The 17429-nt window shown below is 38.4% G+C and overlaps 1 protein-coding gene across 35 annotated transcripts in view, besides 1 other annotated feature; it reads left to right on the plus strand.

The window, feature by feature from the left end:
• The window catches only part of HMBOX1 (homeobox containing 1), a 163155-nt gene that overhangs the window by 11578 nt on the left and 134148 nt on the right, over nt 1-17429 (plus strand). The window lies entirely within an intron of this gene.
• Nucleotides 834-933: an enhancer, noted in NCBI's record as "active region_27176". NCBI's record gives its function as "activates an Ori minimal core promoter by ATAC-STARR-seq in GM12878 lymphoblastoid cells {active_cell/tissue: GM12878}" and the evidence as "EXISTENCE:reporter gene assay evidence [ECO:0000049][PMID:35858748]".

Raw genomic sequence — 17429 nt, forward strand, 5'->3', positions numbered from 1 at the left:
TTGTGCCATATGCCAAATTTTCGTCCCTGTGCTTTGTGATGGGTTTGCTAACATTTCCTTTCCTCCCTTTTCCATGTCTTATTTTCTTATTCCAGAAGTCATTTTCTGTATTGCATTCAAGTAAATTACCTTTCCTTCTGCTGTATATTTTCAGCCTTTGTTTCTTGGCATTTGCTACCTTACCCACTTAATGTATTTGTATATCCTTATCTTACTAGTTAAAACCTTATACTTAAAACCCAGTTAAATCCTTCTGTCTGAAGAGACATATCCCAGTGAACCTCGACACACTTAGACCAGTCATTTACTCGACATATAAGCTGCATTTACATACTCAATCATTATTGTAATTTTTTGTATTTACTTGTAAGGTATGTGACATTCTAAATAGTTTAGTTTTCATGTTATGTATATGAATTGGATTCCTAGTTGAAGTGTAAGATCCTTGAATTTTCTGCTGACTTGCCGCTGGTAGGGGGCAGGGGTGAGGGGACTGAATTTATCCTCAGAAGATAGTGAACCTAAAATTTCTGGTACCCCTGTCGCTGGTACCAGCTACAGCCAATAATACTTGTCAAGAACTTAGACACAGCAATCTATCTAGTACTGAGGGTACTGGATCAGAGAAATGACATTCTTTCCCATCCCTCCTTCATTTTCACAGTTCATTTATTAACTCCCACTTATTTAGCCAACAATGAGTTAGATGTAGGCCTACCGTTCAGGAAGCTCATAGTTTGGTTTTGATAGGATCAGAAAGAGGACCCAACCGTGAGGCACAGATCTCAGTACTGCACATGGGGTATGCTTGCTTCAGTAATTTCAGTCATCTGAGCTAGCTTACTCATGAGACATTATGGGGAAAACATAATGTCTCCTTAGGCATCTCCCTGTCTCTGTGTGGTCTCTTCAGTATGGTGGCTTCAAGGTAGCCAGACTTCTCACATAGTGCCTCAGGGCTCCAAAGGCAGGTGTCCCAAAAGAGAAAGGAAGTCAGGCTTATTGTTTTTTATGATCTATCCTTGGAAACTTGAGGATTACTTCCAGAGCATTCTACTCACGAAGGCAGTCATGCAGGCCTGCCTGTGTTGGAGAGCAGGGAACAGAGACTACACTCCACCTTTTGATGGGAGGAGTGGCAACATTCTCAAAGAGCATGTATGATGGAAATATTGTTGTGGCAGTTATGCAAAATGCAACGTGCCATACCAAAAGATAAATACTGTTAATAATTTGCTTTGCTTTCAGGTTACAAGTGTATTCTCTATGATGGTGTCATACTACCACTTATATTTCTTTCTTTAACAATATATAATGGTGTCAGCACGTAAAGACATACCTCACTTTCTTAATGTAAACAAATGAAGTATAATATAACCATTTACCCACCAGTGGACATTTAAGCTTTCTTTTACACACACACACACACATACATTTAAGCTTTCTTTTACACACACACACATATACACAGAGAGAGAGAAGCAAAACGAACAAAAAGCCTAAAAGCATAATATAGTTTTAGATTACAATTGAATTTTGTCTTACCCCAAGTTGGTAGGATTTGTGAGGGGATCAGGGAGGGCAGTGATGATGCCACTTGTGGCCTTTGAAAGGGAATAATCCTCTTCACTCTTGATTTATCTACCTTGGTGAGTAATTTTAGTAGGAACCTCTTGTTTGGTGTTAGATTGGCCTGTGGTAAACATTGTTGTGAATGGGACTAAGAAGGCAAGAGGTAATAAGCTTTCTCCTCGTGCCACTATTCCAACCATCTGAGAATTGTTTCTTGCATCTCCTTTTTTTTCTCCCTTTGCTGTTTTTTCTTTCTTTTTTCCTTGCTCCAACCTCCTCAATAATCCTGTGCTTCTGTCTTGATCTCAGCAAAAGATATGGATGAGGTGGGACTATCATCATGTACAAAGATATCTCATTTGGCACTTGATCAGGTGAAGAATTATTTTTTGTCTTTCTTCCTGTTGTGTATGCAAAAGACATCTTAAATGACTTAACTTGAACTAGGAGTTGATCAATTGATTTTAAAAACTTGGTTATAGTAAAAAGCATTAAAAATTGATGACTTAAACATTTTACTTTAATCAAAATATATAGACATACATGCATTTGTTAGTTATTTGGTTACAGGGCAGTGGTTTTCAACTGGTGATTTTACCCTCCAGGGACATTTTGCAACATTTGGAGACATTTTTGATTGCCACTACTGCAATGGGAGTGCTATTGCCATGTAGTGGGTAATAGCAAAGCCAGGGATGCTGCCAAACATCCTTCAGTTTACAGGCCAATATCTCCCGCTCCCAACAGATAATTCTCCCATCCAAAATGTCAACAGTACTGGGATTGAGAAACTCTGATCTAGGGCCAACGCCTTTTCTTTGTGTGTGACTCTATCAGTTGACACTCTACATCAGTTTTTCATGCATAAACCATACCCATAATGTATCACTTATGATTTCCAGTTTTTTTTTTAAATGGAGGAAGACCTTAAGGACATTTGTAATCTATGAGTCAAATCTTAATATTTTATTTCTTCCAAATCTCTTTTTTTTTTTTTTTTTGAGACGGAGTCTTGCTCTGTCTTCAGGCTGGAGTGCAGTGGTGCAATCTTGGCTCACTGCAACCTCCGCCTCGCGGGTTCAAGCAATTCTCCTGCCTCAGCCTCCACAGGTGTGCGCCACCATGCCCAGCCGATTTTTGTATTTTTAGTAGAGACGAGGTTTCACCATGTTGGCCAGGATGGTCTCCATCTCTTGACCTTGTGATCCGCCCGCCTAGGCCTCCCCGAGTGCTGGGATTACAGGCGTGAGCCACTGTGCCCAGCCCATTTCTCCCAAATCTTTTACAGTAGTCTCACCTATACTCAATTCAATAGCATTCTTATTTTTTCAAGTTAATCGTCTTAAATTGTGCCAAACATTGAACCTTTTTTTGTGTGTGTGTGACTTACTTTTAATAGAAACAACTCTTCACACTCTTTTTTTTTTTTGAGATGGAGTCTCGCTCTGTCACCCAGGCTGGAGTGCAGTGGCACCATCTTGCTCACTGCAAGCTCTGCCTCCTGGGTTCACACCATTCTCCTGCCTCAGCCTTCCAAGTAGCTGGGACTACAGGTGCCCACCACCACGCCCAACTAATTTTTTGTATTTTTAGTAGAGACAGGGTTTCATCGTGTTAGCCACGATGGTCTCGATCTCCTGACCTCGTGATCCACCCTCCTTGGCCTACCAAAGTGCTGGGATTACAGGCATGAGCTACTGCGCCCGGCCTCTTCACACTCTTATTTTGTTAGTTTAGATAGTATAATCAAATTCCACAGTTGCAAGAACACCTTGTCTAAACAGTAAGGGAATAAACCAGCTTACTCTTGGTTGGCACACAGTGGAGTGTTTGAAACAGCCTAATAAGCATCCTTGTCAGTTTGTTTTAGAAGGGGAATCTAGAGAATATTGGTTGATTATGATGGTTGGTTAATTGGAGGCTGAGCAAGAGCTTCCACATGAGCAGTAGGAACTGAAGGGTTTTTTGTTGTTGTTGTTGTTGAAAAGAATTGTTTTCAAAGTGAGTTCACTGAAAACTTCTACTTAAATAAGCCAAAAGAAAAACAAAACAAAAAACCAGGCGCGCGTGCATGCGCACACACACGCACGCACACACACACACACACGCAGAGAGAGAGAGAGAAGCAAAAACAAAAAGCCTAAAAGCATAATATAGTTTTAGATTTCAGTTGAATTTTGTTTTACCCCAAGTTGGTAGGATTTGTGAGGGGATCAGGGAGGACAGTGATGATGCCAGTTATAGCCTTCAAAAGATAATAATGCTCTTCACTCTTGATTTATCAGCCTTGCTGAGTAACTTCACAAATCTTTAGGTATTTGGGATAATCAGGAAGCTCTGCCTATCTAGAAGTGATTCAGTTATTTTGCTAGGTTTCGGTTCCTTTCATGAAATGTACTTAATCATATTTTTGTGTATGCTTCAAGGGCTGCTACCAGCTGGCCTTATCCTATTTAACAACTCTGTTTTAAGCAGACTAACTTAACTTCCATGATGTCTGCTGTATTTCTGGATTACTTTCATATGGGCCTTTATATACTAAGCCCCATCAGCCAGTCTCCTGCACTTTGCCAAAACATTTCTTAAACTTCTTTAAAATACTTAAACCCAGCATCTCAATTTTCACTAAAGACTTGATTCTAACACATTTCCAATCTTTGTATTACCAGCACATTTTTTTCAGCTTTGATTATATGCGTTTTCAGAATATATGCATAATTTTGGCTACATGAATTTATGCAGGCTGACTCATTGCCTAATAAAAGTGATGTTATTTAGAATTTAATCAGAGATTAATCAGAGAGGTCCAGAAACCAGCATTTTAGATACTCTAATGAATTCTCTAGTAACCAACACCCATTGGGAAATCTAACCTGAATGGATTGTTAATCTTCTCAGAGCTAGAGGATTTAAAGCTGAATTAGCATAGACTTGTTAAAGTTGTTAATTACTATTTCTGTAGTTTTTGGGGAAAATGTTAGCCCTTCTTTCCTGCACTTTCTGCTAATGATGGTGGTTTCTTTATCTAGAGAAACTTTAAGATTATAGAAGGATAAGAGATTACTTGGAGCAGCATGCCTGAGTTAACTCTTAGTTAATGAGATTTTTAAATATAATAATTCCTTCCCTCCAGGCTTATATTAAAAGAAAAATCACTGTATAAAAAGTTATTTTGTGTATTTGTGTGGTTATCTTACATTACATTTATAAAATACTTAGTATTTGAAACATTGTTTAATTTTATGTCCATTTCCTCTCACTTTTCAAACATGACGTATGTAGAGATTCTTAGTAAATGCTTTTTGAAAATGATGACTTATTATTATTATTATCATTATTTTTGAGACAGAGTCTCACTCTGTCCCTCAGGCTGGAGTACAGTGGCATGATCTCAGCTCACTGCAACCTCCGCCTCCCAGGTTCAAGGGATTCTCCTGCCTCAGCCTCCCAGGTGGCTGGGATTATAGGCGTTAGCCACCACACCCAGCTAATTTTTTGTATTTTTAGTAGAGACGGGGTTTCACCATATTGAACCAGGCTTGTCTTGAACCCCTGACCTCAGGTGATCTGCTGGCCTTGGCCTCCCAAAGTGCTGGGATTACAGGCGTGAGCCACCACACCTGGCCTTGAAAAAAATGGTTTTTAATGGGTTATCAAACTAATAATTCCAAAGTGATCAAGATGGTAAATTGCAAGTCAGTTATAATGTTAAATGTTATCAAAATTATTGAAAATGTTATCAAAATTATTGAAAAATGTTATCAAAATTATTTGAAAAATAATTAAATGGCTTTATGGCAGGAATTAATTTCTTTTCAAGGCATAAATGAAAGATTATTTTCCAAATGAATCGTCTATATAGGGTTCATTTTAGAAGAAGCACAGTAACCTTTTAAGGCAGTGTATTCCTTGTGGTGGTGGTGTTTTGCATTGTTGGTATTTAAATCACAAACTGTAATGTATATTTCTTGAAAGGACCAGAAATAATCTAGTTTATCACTTGTGTCCAATAGGGAAATGAAGGGAGTAAGATGTTCTTGTCTAAAGTCTTATTGCCAGGGTAGAGCTCAGGTCACTTATCTCCTAGTTTTACATTTTCTCCATTGTACTACCTGTTACCAAAGGTGGCTGAAACATTTTAGTTCATTGTGCTCAAATACTGCTAATTTGTGTTGGACACTCGGGATTTGAATTACTTCCTTTTTATAGATATGTATTGATTTTTGATAGTAATTAAGTTTATCTCTATTATATAGTGTACATTATCTAAACATCTCATCCAGGTAGTATAAAAACAATTAGTGCAATCAGTGATTTGTTATGTGCCTCTGCTCCTGATTATGTGTCTTAAGAGGCCTACAGGCATCTCAGCATGTCTGTGGGATCCTAGATGGCTTCTGTTCTGCTGTTGTCCTGAGTCTTCCAGCTATTTGCTGACCACCGAATTATAAAGCACCTCTCCTAGAGATCTCTTGAGTATATGTGTATCCTTGGTTATTATATTGCCTGATTTAATTCATTGACATACATTTGGGACATCGTGTTGTATACTATATGAAATATACTGATTTCTTTCTTTCTTTCTTTTTTTTTTTTTTGAGACAAGTTCTCGCTCTGCTGTCCAGTCTGGAGTCCAGTGGCATGATCTTGGTGCACTGCAACCTCATCTCATCAGCTCAAGCCATCCTCCCTACCTTAGCCTCCCGATTATCTGGGACCACAGGTACATGCCACCACAGTTTTTGTATGGCTAGTTTTTGTATTTTTTGTAGAGATGAGATTTCGCCATGTTGCCCAGGCTGGTTTCAAACTCCTGGCCTCAAGTGATTTGCCTGCATCAGCCTCCCAAAGTGGTGGGATTACAGGCATAAGCCACTGTGCCCAGCCTAAAATATACTGATTTATATATTATGTTTTGGATTAATTTCCAAATGGACATAGGAACATATTTGGTTTGTACTGTTATTTTTAAATGAAAATATAATTAGCTTGTCTTGTTTTGTTTTATAGGACCTTTCCTAGGACCATAATTTATTAGAATTCAAAGAGTAGATTTATTTTGCAAATTCAAACCTACTTTTTTAAGGGAAAGGGAAGAATTGACATTAATTATATATAGCTTGAATTTTTATCTTTTAATTATAAACTTGAAAGTCTATTTATAAAAATGGAAAAACAAATGAACATCTATTAAAATATGGGTTATGGGCCAGGTGTGGTGGCTCACACCTGTAATCCCAGCACTTTGGGAGGCCAAGGCGGGCAGATCACCTGAGGTCAGGAGTTTGACACCAGCCTGACCAACATGGCCAAACCCTGTCTCTACCAAAAATACAAAAATTAGCCGGGCATGGTGGCGCATGCCTGTAATCCCAGCTATGTGGGAGGCTGAGGCAGTGGAATTGCCTGAACCTGGGAGGTGGAGGTTGCAGTGAGCCTACAGTGAGCCGAGATTGTGCCATTGGACTCCAGCCTGGGCGACAGAGCGAGACTCTGTCTTAAAAAAAAACCTGGGTTATATAGAAGGACTTAAAATTTAGTGTTGTGTCCGGGTGAGGTGGCTCCTCCCTGTAATTTCAGTGTTTTGGGAAGCTGATGCAGGAGGATTGCTTGAAGCCAGGAGTTTGAGACCAACCAGCCTGGGCCTCATAGTGAGATTCCATCTCTACAAAAAATTTTTAAAAATTAGCTGCGTGTAGTGGTTTGCACCTGTAGTCCCAGCTACTCAGGAAGCTAAGGCAGGATCATTTGAGCCAAAGTTGGAGCCTGTGGTGAGCTATGATCGCACCACTACACTCCAAGATGGGTGACAGAGTGAGACCCTATCTCTAAAAAAAAAAAAAAAAAATTACTGTTGATTGTACCACCAGGGTAGTTGGGGCATTTGAAAGCATGTTTATGTATTTTTTAAAGGTTAGTTTGACAAGATAATTGACCTACCAGTCTATATGATGGCCAGTTGTAGGATGGTAGAAAAACTTTGTTGAGCAATGTTTTTTGAACTATTTGTGGTAACGCAACATTTTTATAATCTCATTGGCTGATAGTGTCTTTTGTAAAATACAATAAAAATGGGTAACTAGAAAAATTAAGTGGAAAAAATAGCCAAAGAAATATGATACAAGTCCAAATATCAGTTTCAGGAGATATATTAATTGGTCAAATTGCTATTAAAATTTCTAAACACTTAGTCTCAATTTCTGTAACTAGTCATGGACCAGTTTCAGACAGTAACAGTGCCCATGGATCAATACTGGTCTACAGACCAGACTTTGAGAAGAACTGTCCTAGAATATACAAATGCTATGTAGTATTAGGAGTCATTGCTAAGCTGAAGAGTTGTCTTTCACACCAGACACAGCTCCTGCAAACAATCTACAGGTGCCTCGCCTGCTAAAGTGCTTAGTAGCCTTCTATGAAGACCAAAAAAAAATGAGACTTGAGAACTTCTTTAAAAAAGAAACAACAAACTTTACTGACATATAATTTATTTGGTGTAAAATTCATCTGTATTAAGTGTACTGCTCAATGACTTCTAGTGAATTTTCCAACTTGTGCAAAACACCACGACAATCCAATTTTAGAACTTTTTTTTTTTTGAGACCCATTTTTGGCTCAAATGGGTCTTTCATCACCCAGGCTGTAGTACTGTGGTGTGATCATGGCTCACTGCAGCCTTGACTTCCTGGGCTCAGGTGATTCTCCTGCCTCAAGCCTGTTCAGTCCCAGAACACTTTCATCACCTCCACAAGAACCCTTATGTTCTTTTATACTTAATCCCTATTCCTAGCCCCAACCCCAGCTCCAGACAACCACCATGCTTTATGTGTTTATACCAACCAAAATACCTTTTGTGTTTACAGATTTGTACTTTCCAGACATTTTATGTAAATGGAATCAGACAGTATGTGGCCTTTTGTTTCTGGTCTCTTTGACTAAGTGTAATGTTTTTGAAGTTCATCCACTTTGTAGCATGTATCAATATTCTGTTTTTTATTGCTGAATAGCATTCAGTTGTTTTAAAATACCACATTTTGTTTGTCCACCAGCTGATGGTTGTTTGGGATGTTTCCAGATTGGAGGATATTTTTAAAAATGCTTTTATGACATTTGCATGCAACTTTTTGGGGGAACATGTTTTTATTTCTTGGATAGGTACCTAGAAGTGGTATTGTTGGCTTGCATGGTATCTATGTTTAGCTTTTTAAGAAACTGCAAAACTATTTTACTGTTTCACCAGCAATGTATTAGAGTCGCAGTTTCTTCACATCCTTGTCAACACTTGTTATTGTCTATCTTTTTTTATTATAGCCATTCTAGTGGGAATGGTATTGGATTGCATTTCCCTAATAACTAATGATGTTGAGCATGTTTTCATGTGCTTATTGGCAATTCATATATCTTTTTTGATGAAATATCTATTCAGGTATTTGCTCATCTTATAGTTGGGTTGTCATCATATTGAACTGTAAGAATTCTGTATGTATTTGGGATACATGTCTTTTATAGATATATTAATATGTTTTGCAGATATTTTCTCCTAACCCTTGTCTTTTCTTTCTCTTACTGATTTGTTTTGAAAGGGGAACCTTTCAATTCTTCTTAAAATTCATGCTCATTTTAAAGAATCACAGAGACTAATGAAATGAGAGAGCAGTGACAGGGTACCTTACTCTGCTTCAGCTCTATTTCAGAAAGTAATTATCTAATTGTAGAGTTCACTTGCTTAGTGATGCTAAATGACCACGTCAGTGTTTCAAACCTGATATTCTGGTGGTTGTACTGGGGGAGTCGATTTGCCACCATACCACTGACAGAACATCATCTTTTACTGTAATTCCTTAAGCAGTCAGATTTCTTAGTTGGAAGCAACAAAAACTGATTTTGGCCTATTTAACCTAGAAGTAAATTTATTAAATAGATGTTAGGAAGCTCTTAGAATTGCTAGGAAGACTGCAGCCAGGCTTGTACAATGAGAAGACCTGGGGGGAGGGTGCTGTCCTTGGCAGAAACCAGTCAGAGCCACACCACAGGTGCAGTCTGATTAGGACAGCAATACTGTTGCTTGCTTACTGCTGCTGGCACCACTGAATGCTGCTGCTTGACTTTTTTTGAAGTCTCCCTCTATTGCCTAGGCTGGAGCGCAGTGGCGCGATATCAGCTCACTGCAACCACTGCCTCCCGGGTTCAAGCGATTCTCCTGCCTCAGCCTGGCGAGTAGCTAGGATTACAAGTGCCTGCCACCATGCCCTGCTAATTTTTGTATTTTTAGTAGAGACAGGATTTCACCACATTGGCCAGACTGATCTTGAACTTCTGACCTCAAATGATCCACCCACCTCGGCCTCCCAAAATGCTGGGATTATAGGCGTGAGCCACCGCGCCTAGCTGCTGCTTGACTTTTATTGCTGCTGCTCCTAAAACTTGCCCCTGCTGCAGTGGTCATCTCTATTTAAGAGGGTTCGTTCTGGTTGTGACACCAGCACTACACCATTTTACATAAGTGATTTGAGCGTCTATAGATTTTGGTATCTGCAGGGTTGGGGGAGGGCAGAGGGGAGTATTTTGGAACCAGCCCACTGCAGATACCAAGGGACAACTGTACAGATGGTCCCCGACTTACCATGGCTTGACTTAATGATTTTTTAACTTTATGATGGTGCAAAAGTGATATGCATTCAGTAAAAACTATACTTCATATTTTGAATTTTGACTTCTTTCCCAACTGGCCATATGTGATATGCTACCTTTTCACAATGCTGGGCCAAATCATCTAACCAAAGGCTATTTTATAATAAAGTGTTGAATATCTCATTTAATTTATTGAACACTATACTGAAACTGTTCTAAGCACATTTTGATTAGGCTAGGCTAAGCTATGATGTTTGATAGGTTAGATGTATTAAATGTGTATTCAACATAACAATACTTTCAACTTACTATGGGTTTATCAGGATGTGACCTTACGCTAAGTTGAGGAGCATCTGTACTGTATTTCTAAAGGAAGCTGGGATATGAATATCTGGCATTTTCAAGCTTCTTAATGAAAAATAGGTACTCCATCTTATTAGTATTGAAGAATCTCGAGTGTTTCCCATCTTAAAAAGAAAACACAAGCTCCCTCAACCTCACTTTCCCATCCAGATTCTGCCATGTTTCTGTTTTCTCATCTATAGACAATATTGACTATTCTCAACCCCATTTCTTGATGAACTCTTCAATCCACCAGAATCTGGTGTATACCCTCATTAATCTCCAAAACTCTTTTTCACAATTTCGCTAAAATTCATGGACAAATTTCAGTTTTCTGGTTTGATATTTCAGCAGTTTTTGTCAATGATCATTCCTTCTTTATGAAACACTTGCTTCTGCGGCTTCTTTGATACTTCTGTGTTTTGGGTTTTCTTCTTTTGGAGGCTGCTTCTTGCCCTTCAAGTTCCTCAGAGCTCTGCTCCAGGCCCTATTCTTGTCTAAACATACTCCATAAGCAAGCTCATCTACCTTTATAGCCTCATTTACCACTTACAGACTAGCCTAGGCCTCTCTGTTGAGTTCCAGAGAGAACTTTATACTAGATATTTCTTTTGGGGTGTTTCAAAGTCATCTCAAAGATGCCTTTTTATGCTTTAAAAAACATACTTAAGTTTTCTCCACTTCTAGTATTGCTTATTGTAGGAAATGACACCAACGATCAAACACCTATTCAAGCTAAAAACCTGAGGATTATCTCTGATTCTTACTTCCTTCATGTTAACTCTTCTATATTCTGTTTCCAAATATCACCATTTCACCATTTCTCCCTTTTCCTCCTATAGTCACCCTGATCCAAGTCATTGTCAGTGATGGCCTAGAATGGTTACTGTAAAATCTCCTAATGACACTCCCTAGTGCTGGTCTTGCCCTCTTTCCCCACGGGATAGCAAGATGGATAATGTTATCCTTAAGTCTTTTTAAACCCTTGCCCTTAGGGTAAAGTCCAAACTATTTAATATGCTTTGTAAGACTCTCCAACATATTTGCACTCACTTATCTCTAACATTATTACTACTTTTCTTTTTGCATTTGATGTTCCAGCTAATCTTCTTTAAGTTTCTCAGTTGGGCAAGCTTTTTCCTGCCTGTTACCCCACATGCTGTTCTCTCTAAGTAGGTGAATTCACCCTCCCACCTCGCCTTCACCATCCCATTTCCCCACTTCTCAACCCGGCAATGTCCATTAGTTCTTTGTGTCTTACTTTAAATACTTCCCTAGATTAGGTTAGGATATTTTCTTACATGCTTCTGGAATACTCTGTACTTTCCCTATAGTACACATTACAACTTATTGTAATTATTTGTCTGTTTTCCCACTAGACTGTAAACTGCATAGGGTTAAGAACCATGCATTTCTCTTTCTCTCCCCATAGCACCCAGCACAGTTCTTGACTCATAGTAAATGCTTAGTAACGTCTGCTAAGTGAATAGAGATCCTTTGATCTGTTTTATTTTTATTTATTTATCTATTTTGAGACAAAGTCTCACTCTGTCGCCCAGGCTGGAGTGCAGTGGCGTGATCTCACTGCAGCCTCCACCTCCTGGGTTCAAGTGATTCTTTTTTTTTTTTTTTTTTTTTGCGGGGGCGGAGGGATGGAGTCTCACTCTTGTCACCCAGGCTGGAGTGCAGTGGCACAATCTCGGCTCACTGCAACCTGCATCTCCCAAATTCAAGCGATTCTTCTGCCCCAGCCTCCCAAGTAGATGGGACTACAGGCATGTGCCACCACATCCGGCTAATTTCTGTATTTTTAGAGACGGGGTTTCACCATGTTGGCCAGGCTGGTCTCGAACTCCTGACCTCAAGTGATCTGCCTGCCTAGGCCTCCCAAAGTGCTGGGATTACAGGCGTGAGCTACCGTGCCTGGCCTGATCTGTTTTAAAAAGAGATAGCCTCCTTGTATTAAATAAAATCAGCCTAACCACTTGAGATGGGTAAGTTCAGTGTGTACATTTATATTCATCTACAGAAAAACTACCGAGAATTTTATAAACCTGCATTGTCAAAGAGGATATTAGAAAACGATTGGGACTTATATAGTAAAATCTGTATTTAGGAACTTAAGGATCAAATTGTAAATGTGGGATCAAATAGATACCCCATCTATTAAAGAATGGCCAGTGGGAAATTTAACATACTAATTAAACACTTAAAAAAATCGCCTCATCAGAATCATCTTTTCCCACTTTAAACTGTGGACAGGCACTGTTTTGCTAGGTAAGTAAATATCTGAACACACGCCTTCACTTGTCTTGATCAAGACAAACATCTGTATAAACTTCAGCTTAGCATTCTTTGAACCACAGCACTGCAGACAGCCATGACAGCTAATGTGACATTGAAGCCTATTTGACATCCCTAACCTAAGTTAGAGGGTCAGTAACATTTGAATTAATAAAATAAATATGTGGTTTTCATTTCAGTGAAAATTTCTTTTTTTGCTCTTATTTCAGTGAGAACTTCCTTGTTAGAATATATTCTACTTTATTTGAACACAGTGTTATACTTGTAATACCTATAATGGAAATGAAATGCTTTATAAAAACCAGTGAATGCATTATAAGCATATGCAAATAGAGTGAAAGAACTGCAAAGGAAATTCCGCAGAACATATTTTTATTTCTTCAAAGGTGGCTATAGAAGTACTTCTGGATTAGATATGTTCAGTTGCAAAATAACAAATTCTATGGAAACCAACAAACTATAAAGGAAATTTATTTGTTTATATATCACAAAATCCAAAGACAGGTAAGACTTCTGGCAAAAATTGATCCAGAGGTTCTAAGATGTCATCAGTAATCTTTGTTGTTGTTGTAGTGTTGTGTTGTTTTACTTTGCATTCTCAACTTCCTAGAGCAACTCTATCCAATAGGAATATAATGCCTATTACATTTTAAAATTTAAATATTCTAGTTACTACATTTTATGAAGTAAAAAGAAACAGATGAAATTCATTTTTTTTAAAGAGACAGGGTCTGACTGGGCGCCGTGGCTCACGCCTGTAATCCCAACACTTTTGGAAGCTGAGGCGGGCGGATCACAAGGTCAGGAGATGGAGACCATCCTGGCTAACATGGTGAAACCCCGTCTCTACTAAAAATACAAAAAATTAGCCGGGCATGGTGGCAGGTGCCTGTAGTCCCAGCTACTTGGGAGGCTGAGGCAGGAGAATGGTGTGAACCCGGGAGGTGGAGCTTGCAGTGAGCCAAGATCGTGCCACTGCACTCCAGCCTGGGTGACAGAGCGAGACTCTGTCTCAAAAAAAAAAAAAAAAAAAAAAAGAGACAGAGTCCTGCTCTGTTGCCCAGGGTGGAGTGCAGTGGCTATATTCACAGGTGTATGAGAGTTTTGACCTGCTGTGTTTCTAACTTGGGCTGGATCACCCCTCCTTGGGCAACTTGGGTGGTTCCCTACTGCTTTGAGTGGTCACCATATTGATGCCATACTTAGTGGGGGCACCTGATCAGCTTTAGCACACTATAGCACAGAACTCCTGGGTTCAAGTGATCCTCTTGTCTCAGCCTCCTGAGTAGCTAGAACTATAGACATGTGACACTGTGCCTGGCAAAATTAATTTTAATAACAGGTTTTATTTAACTCAGTATTTCCAAAATATTACTATTTCACATGGAATTAGTATAAAAATTGAGATATTTTACGTTCTTAAGTCTTCAAAACTGGTATTTTACTCTTACAACATGTCTTAATTCGGACTAGCCAGATTTCAAAGGCCCAGTAACCACATGTAGCCAGAGGCTACTGTTTTGGACAGCAGTTATAGTTTCTACTTTGTCTTAAGGCTGGCTCTCATTTTCTCAAGTTGGCCACTGCAGTCAGCAGATTTATGTGTTTTCTTGTTCATATCTTTAAGAAAGAAGACAGCATATTTTCAGTATCTGCCCTCTAAGTAAGGGGAAATTTTTCCCCAGAATCCCTCAGCAGATGTCACCATGAGTTTCATTGTTTGTATTGGGCCTTCTGATCATCCATGATTCCTGCCACTGTAACCAGGAGGATGAAATGTACTGAATAGTATGTGCCAATCAGGAATTACCCATGGGATATAACCCAGGATCACAAATCCTATGCTATTCACAAAGAGTTTTTCTCCTGTGTTTTGTTCTAGAAGTTTTATATTTTTGGGTTTTCCATGTAAGTCTGTGACCCATTTTGAGTTAATGCGTGTAGAAGATTTGAGGTATGGGCAAGGTTTTATGTTTTTGGATATAGATTTCCACGTGTTCTAGCTCCATTTATTGAAAAAGGCTATCCTTTTTCCATTGAATTGACTTTACACCTTTGTCAAATATTAATTGACCATATTTGTGTGAGTCTGTTTCTGGACTTTCTATTATTCTATTCTATTGATCTATCTGTCTGTCCCTTTTCTACGAACACACTATCTTCATTACGGTATTGTAAGTCTTACAATCAGTTAATATGAGTCTTCCAACTTTTTTTTTTAAATCTAAATTGTTTTTACTATTCTCATTCATTGGCCTTTCCATACAGATATTAGAGTTAGCTTGTTAGGCAGACATGGGAGGATAGCTTGAGCCCAGGAGTTCAAGACCAGCCTGGGCAATAGAGTGAGACTTTGTCTCTACAAAATATAAAAATTAGCCAAACTTAGTGATGCATGCCTGTAGTCCCAGCTACTCAGGAGGCTGAGGTGAGAGGAACACTTGCGCCCAGGAGGCAGAGGTTACAGTGAGCAGAGATCATATCACTGCACTCCAGCCTGGGTGACAGAGCAAGACCCTGTCTCAAAAAAAAAAAAAAAAAAAGAATTACCTTGTTAATATATACCAAAAGATCTTCTAGAATTTTTATTGGGATTGTGTTGGCCGTTAGAGCAATTTGGGCAGAATTTACATCTTAGCAATATTAAGTCTTCTGGTCCATGAACACTGTATATCTCTCCATTTATTTAGATCATCTTTGATTTTTTCTGTTGTTTTCAACATTCAGATTCTTCATCTATTTATTAGACTTATGCCTAAATATTTTATGATTTTGGTGCTATTATAAATGGTATATTTTTATTGGATTGTTAGTTCATTGTTAATAAGTAGAAATGTAATTGATTTTTGTATATTATCCTTGTATCTTATAGCCTTGATAAATTCATACGTTAGTTTGAAGAGTTTTTTTTCTAGAAACCTTAAGATTTTCTACATGACAATCACATTGCGTATGAATAGAAAAGGTTTTACTTTTTCCTTTCCAGTCTGTGCTTTTTTTTTCCCTTACTGTATTATACTGACTAAAACTTTTGGTATGATACTGAATAGTAGTGGTTAGAATGGACAGACTTGTCTGTTTTCAGTGTTAAGGCAAAAGCATTTTATCTTTCATTATTAAATATGATATATTTAGGGTTTTCATGGATGCCATTTATCAGTTTAAGGAGGTTCTATTTCTAGTTTGCTCCGAGTTTTGGTCATGAATAAGATATTATATTAACTTTTATCAAGTGCTTTTTCTTCATCTTTTCTTATTTAGTCTGTGATTATGGAGAATTACATTGACTGATTTTTGAATACTGAATAAACCTTGCATGTTGTATTGTTCTTTTCATATATTGCTGGATTCAGTTGGCTACAGTTTTGTTGAGGATTTTTTCATCTGTGTTCATCAGGGATATTAGTTTTCCTGTCATGTAATTTAATCCTCTGGCTTTTGTACTAGGATAATATGCTGGCCTTATAAAATGATTTGGGAAATTCTTTCTTCTCTTCTATTTTCTGGAAGAGACTGAGTAGGATTGCCATTATTTCTTCATTGAATATTTGGTCAAATTGGCCAGTGAAACTATCCAGGCCTGCAGTTTTCTTGGTTGTGATATTTTTAAACTATGAACTCAGTTTCCTTAAGAGCTATTCAACTATTCATGTTATTTTTATTTTTATTTTTATTTTTTGAGATGGACTCTTGCTCTGTCGCCCTGGCTGGAGTGCAGTGGCGCGATCTCGGCTCACCACAACCTCTGCCTCCCAGGTTCAAGAGATTCTCCTGCCTCAGCTTCCCAAGTAGCTGGGGCTACAGGTGCATGCCACCACGCCTGGCTAATTTTTTGTATTTTTAGTAGAGATGGGGTTCCACCGTGTTAGCCAGGATGGTCTCAATCTCCTGACCTTGTGATCCGCCTGCCTTGGCCTCCCAAAGTGTTGGGATTACAGGCGTGAGCCACCACGCCTGGCCATGTTGTTTCTTTTGGTAGTGTATGTATTCAAGGAGCTGGTCCATTTCATCTGAGTTACTGAATTTATGGACATAGACTTGTTTATAGTATTACTTGGTACTTTTAACCTCTATAGGGTCTCTAATGATGTTCCCTCTTTCATTATCAAAAAATCATAACTCGTGAAATGTTTGTGCTGTATTTGAGTTTATAAACATCATTTTACCACCAGCACGCCGAGTTTAAGTGCTTCCCACCTTCCATTTAACATAAGTATTTTAAAGTAGTAAGTATCACTGTCATCAATAACATAGTCATTTTCTGGAACATGAATAAACACATAAGGTCTGCTGCTATTTATGATATATTATCAAAGTTGTTTACACACCTGTATTCAGTGTGTAAAGTCATAACCCTGTTTTAAAAACAGCAGGAACTTCTGAAGACATCCAAATAACTATAGCAACTTTTAAAGTATTTCTTTATACTATCAATTCTAAATAGAAAAATTAGGGAATTAGAAAACAGGGAAGTTCTTTTTCTTGAGGAAAACAGAGAGGAAAGTGACAGAATATTGACTGCTCAGTGTTCATGTCATAAATTTTTCTCCATTGGTGAAGGATTAACCCAGTAACAGATA

This window comes from Homo sapiens, chromosome 8, assembly GCF_000001405.40.
Source record: "Homo sapiens chromosome 8, GRCh38.p14 Primary Assembly".
Lineage (NCBI taxonomy): Eukaryota > Metazoa > Chordata > Mammalia > Primates > Hominidae > Homo > Homo sapiens.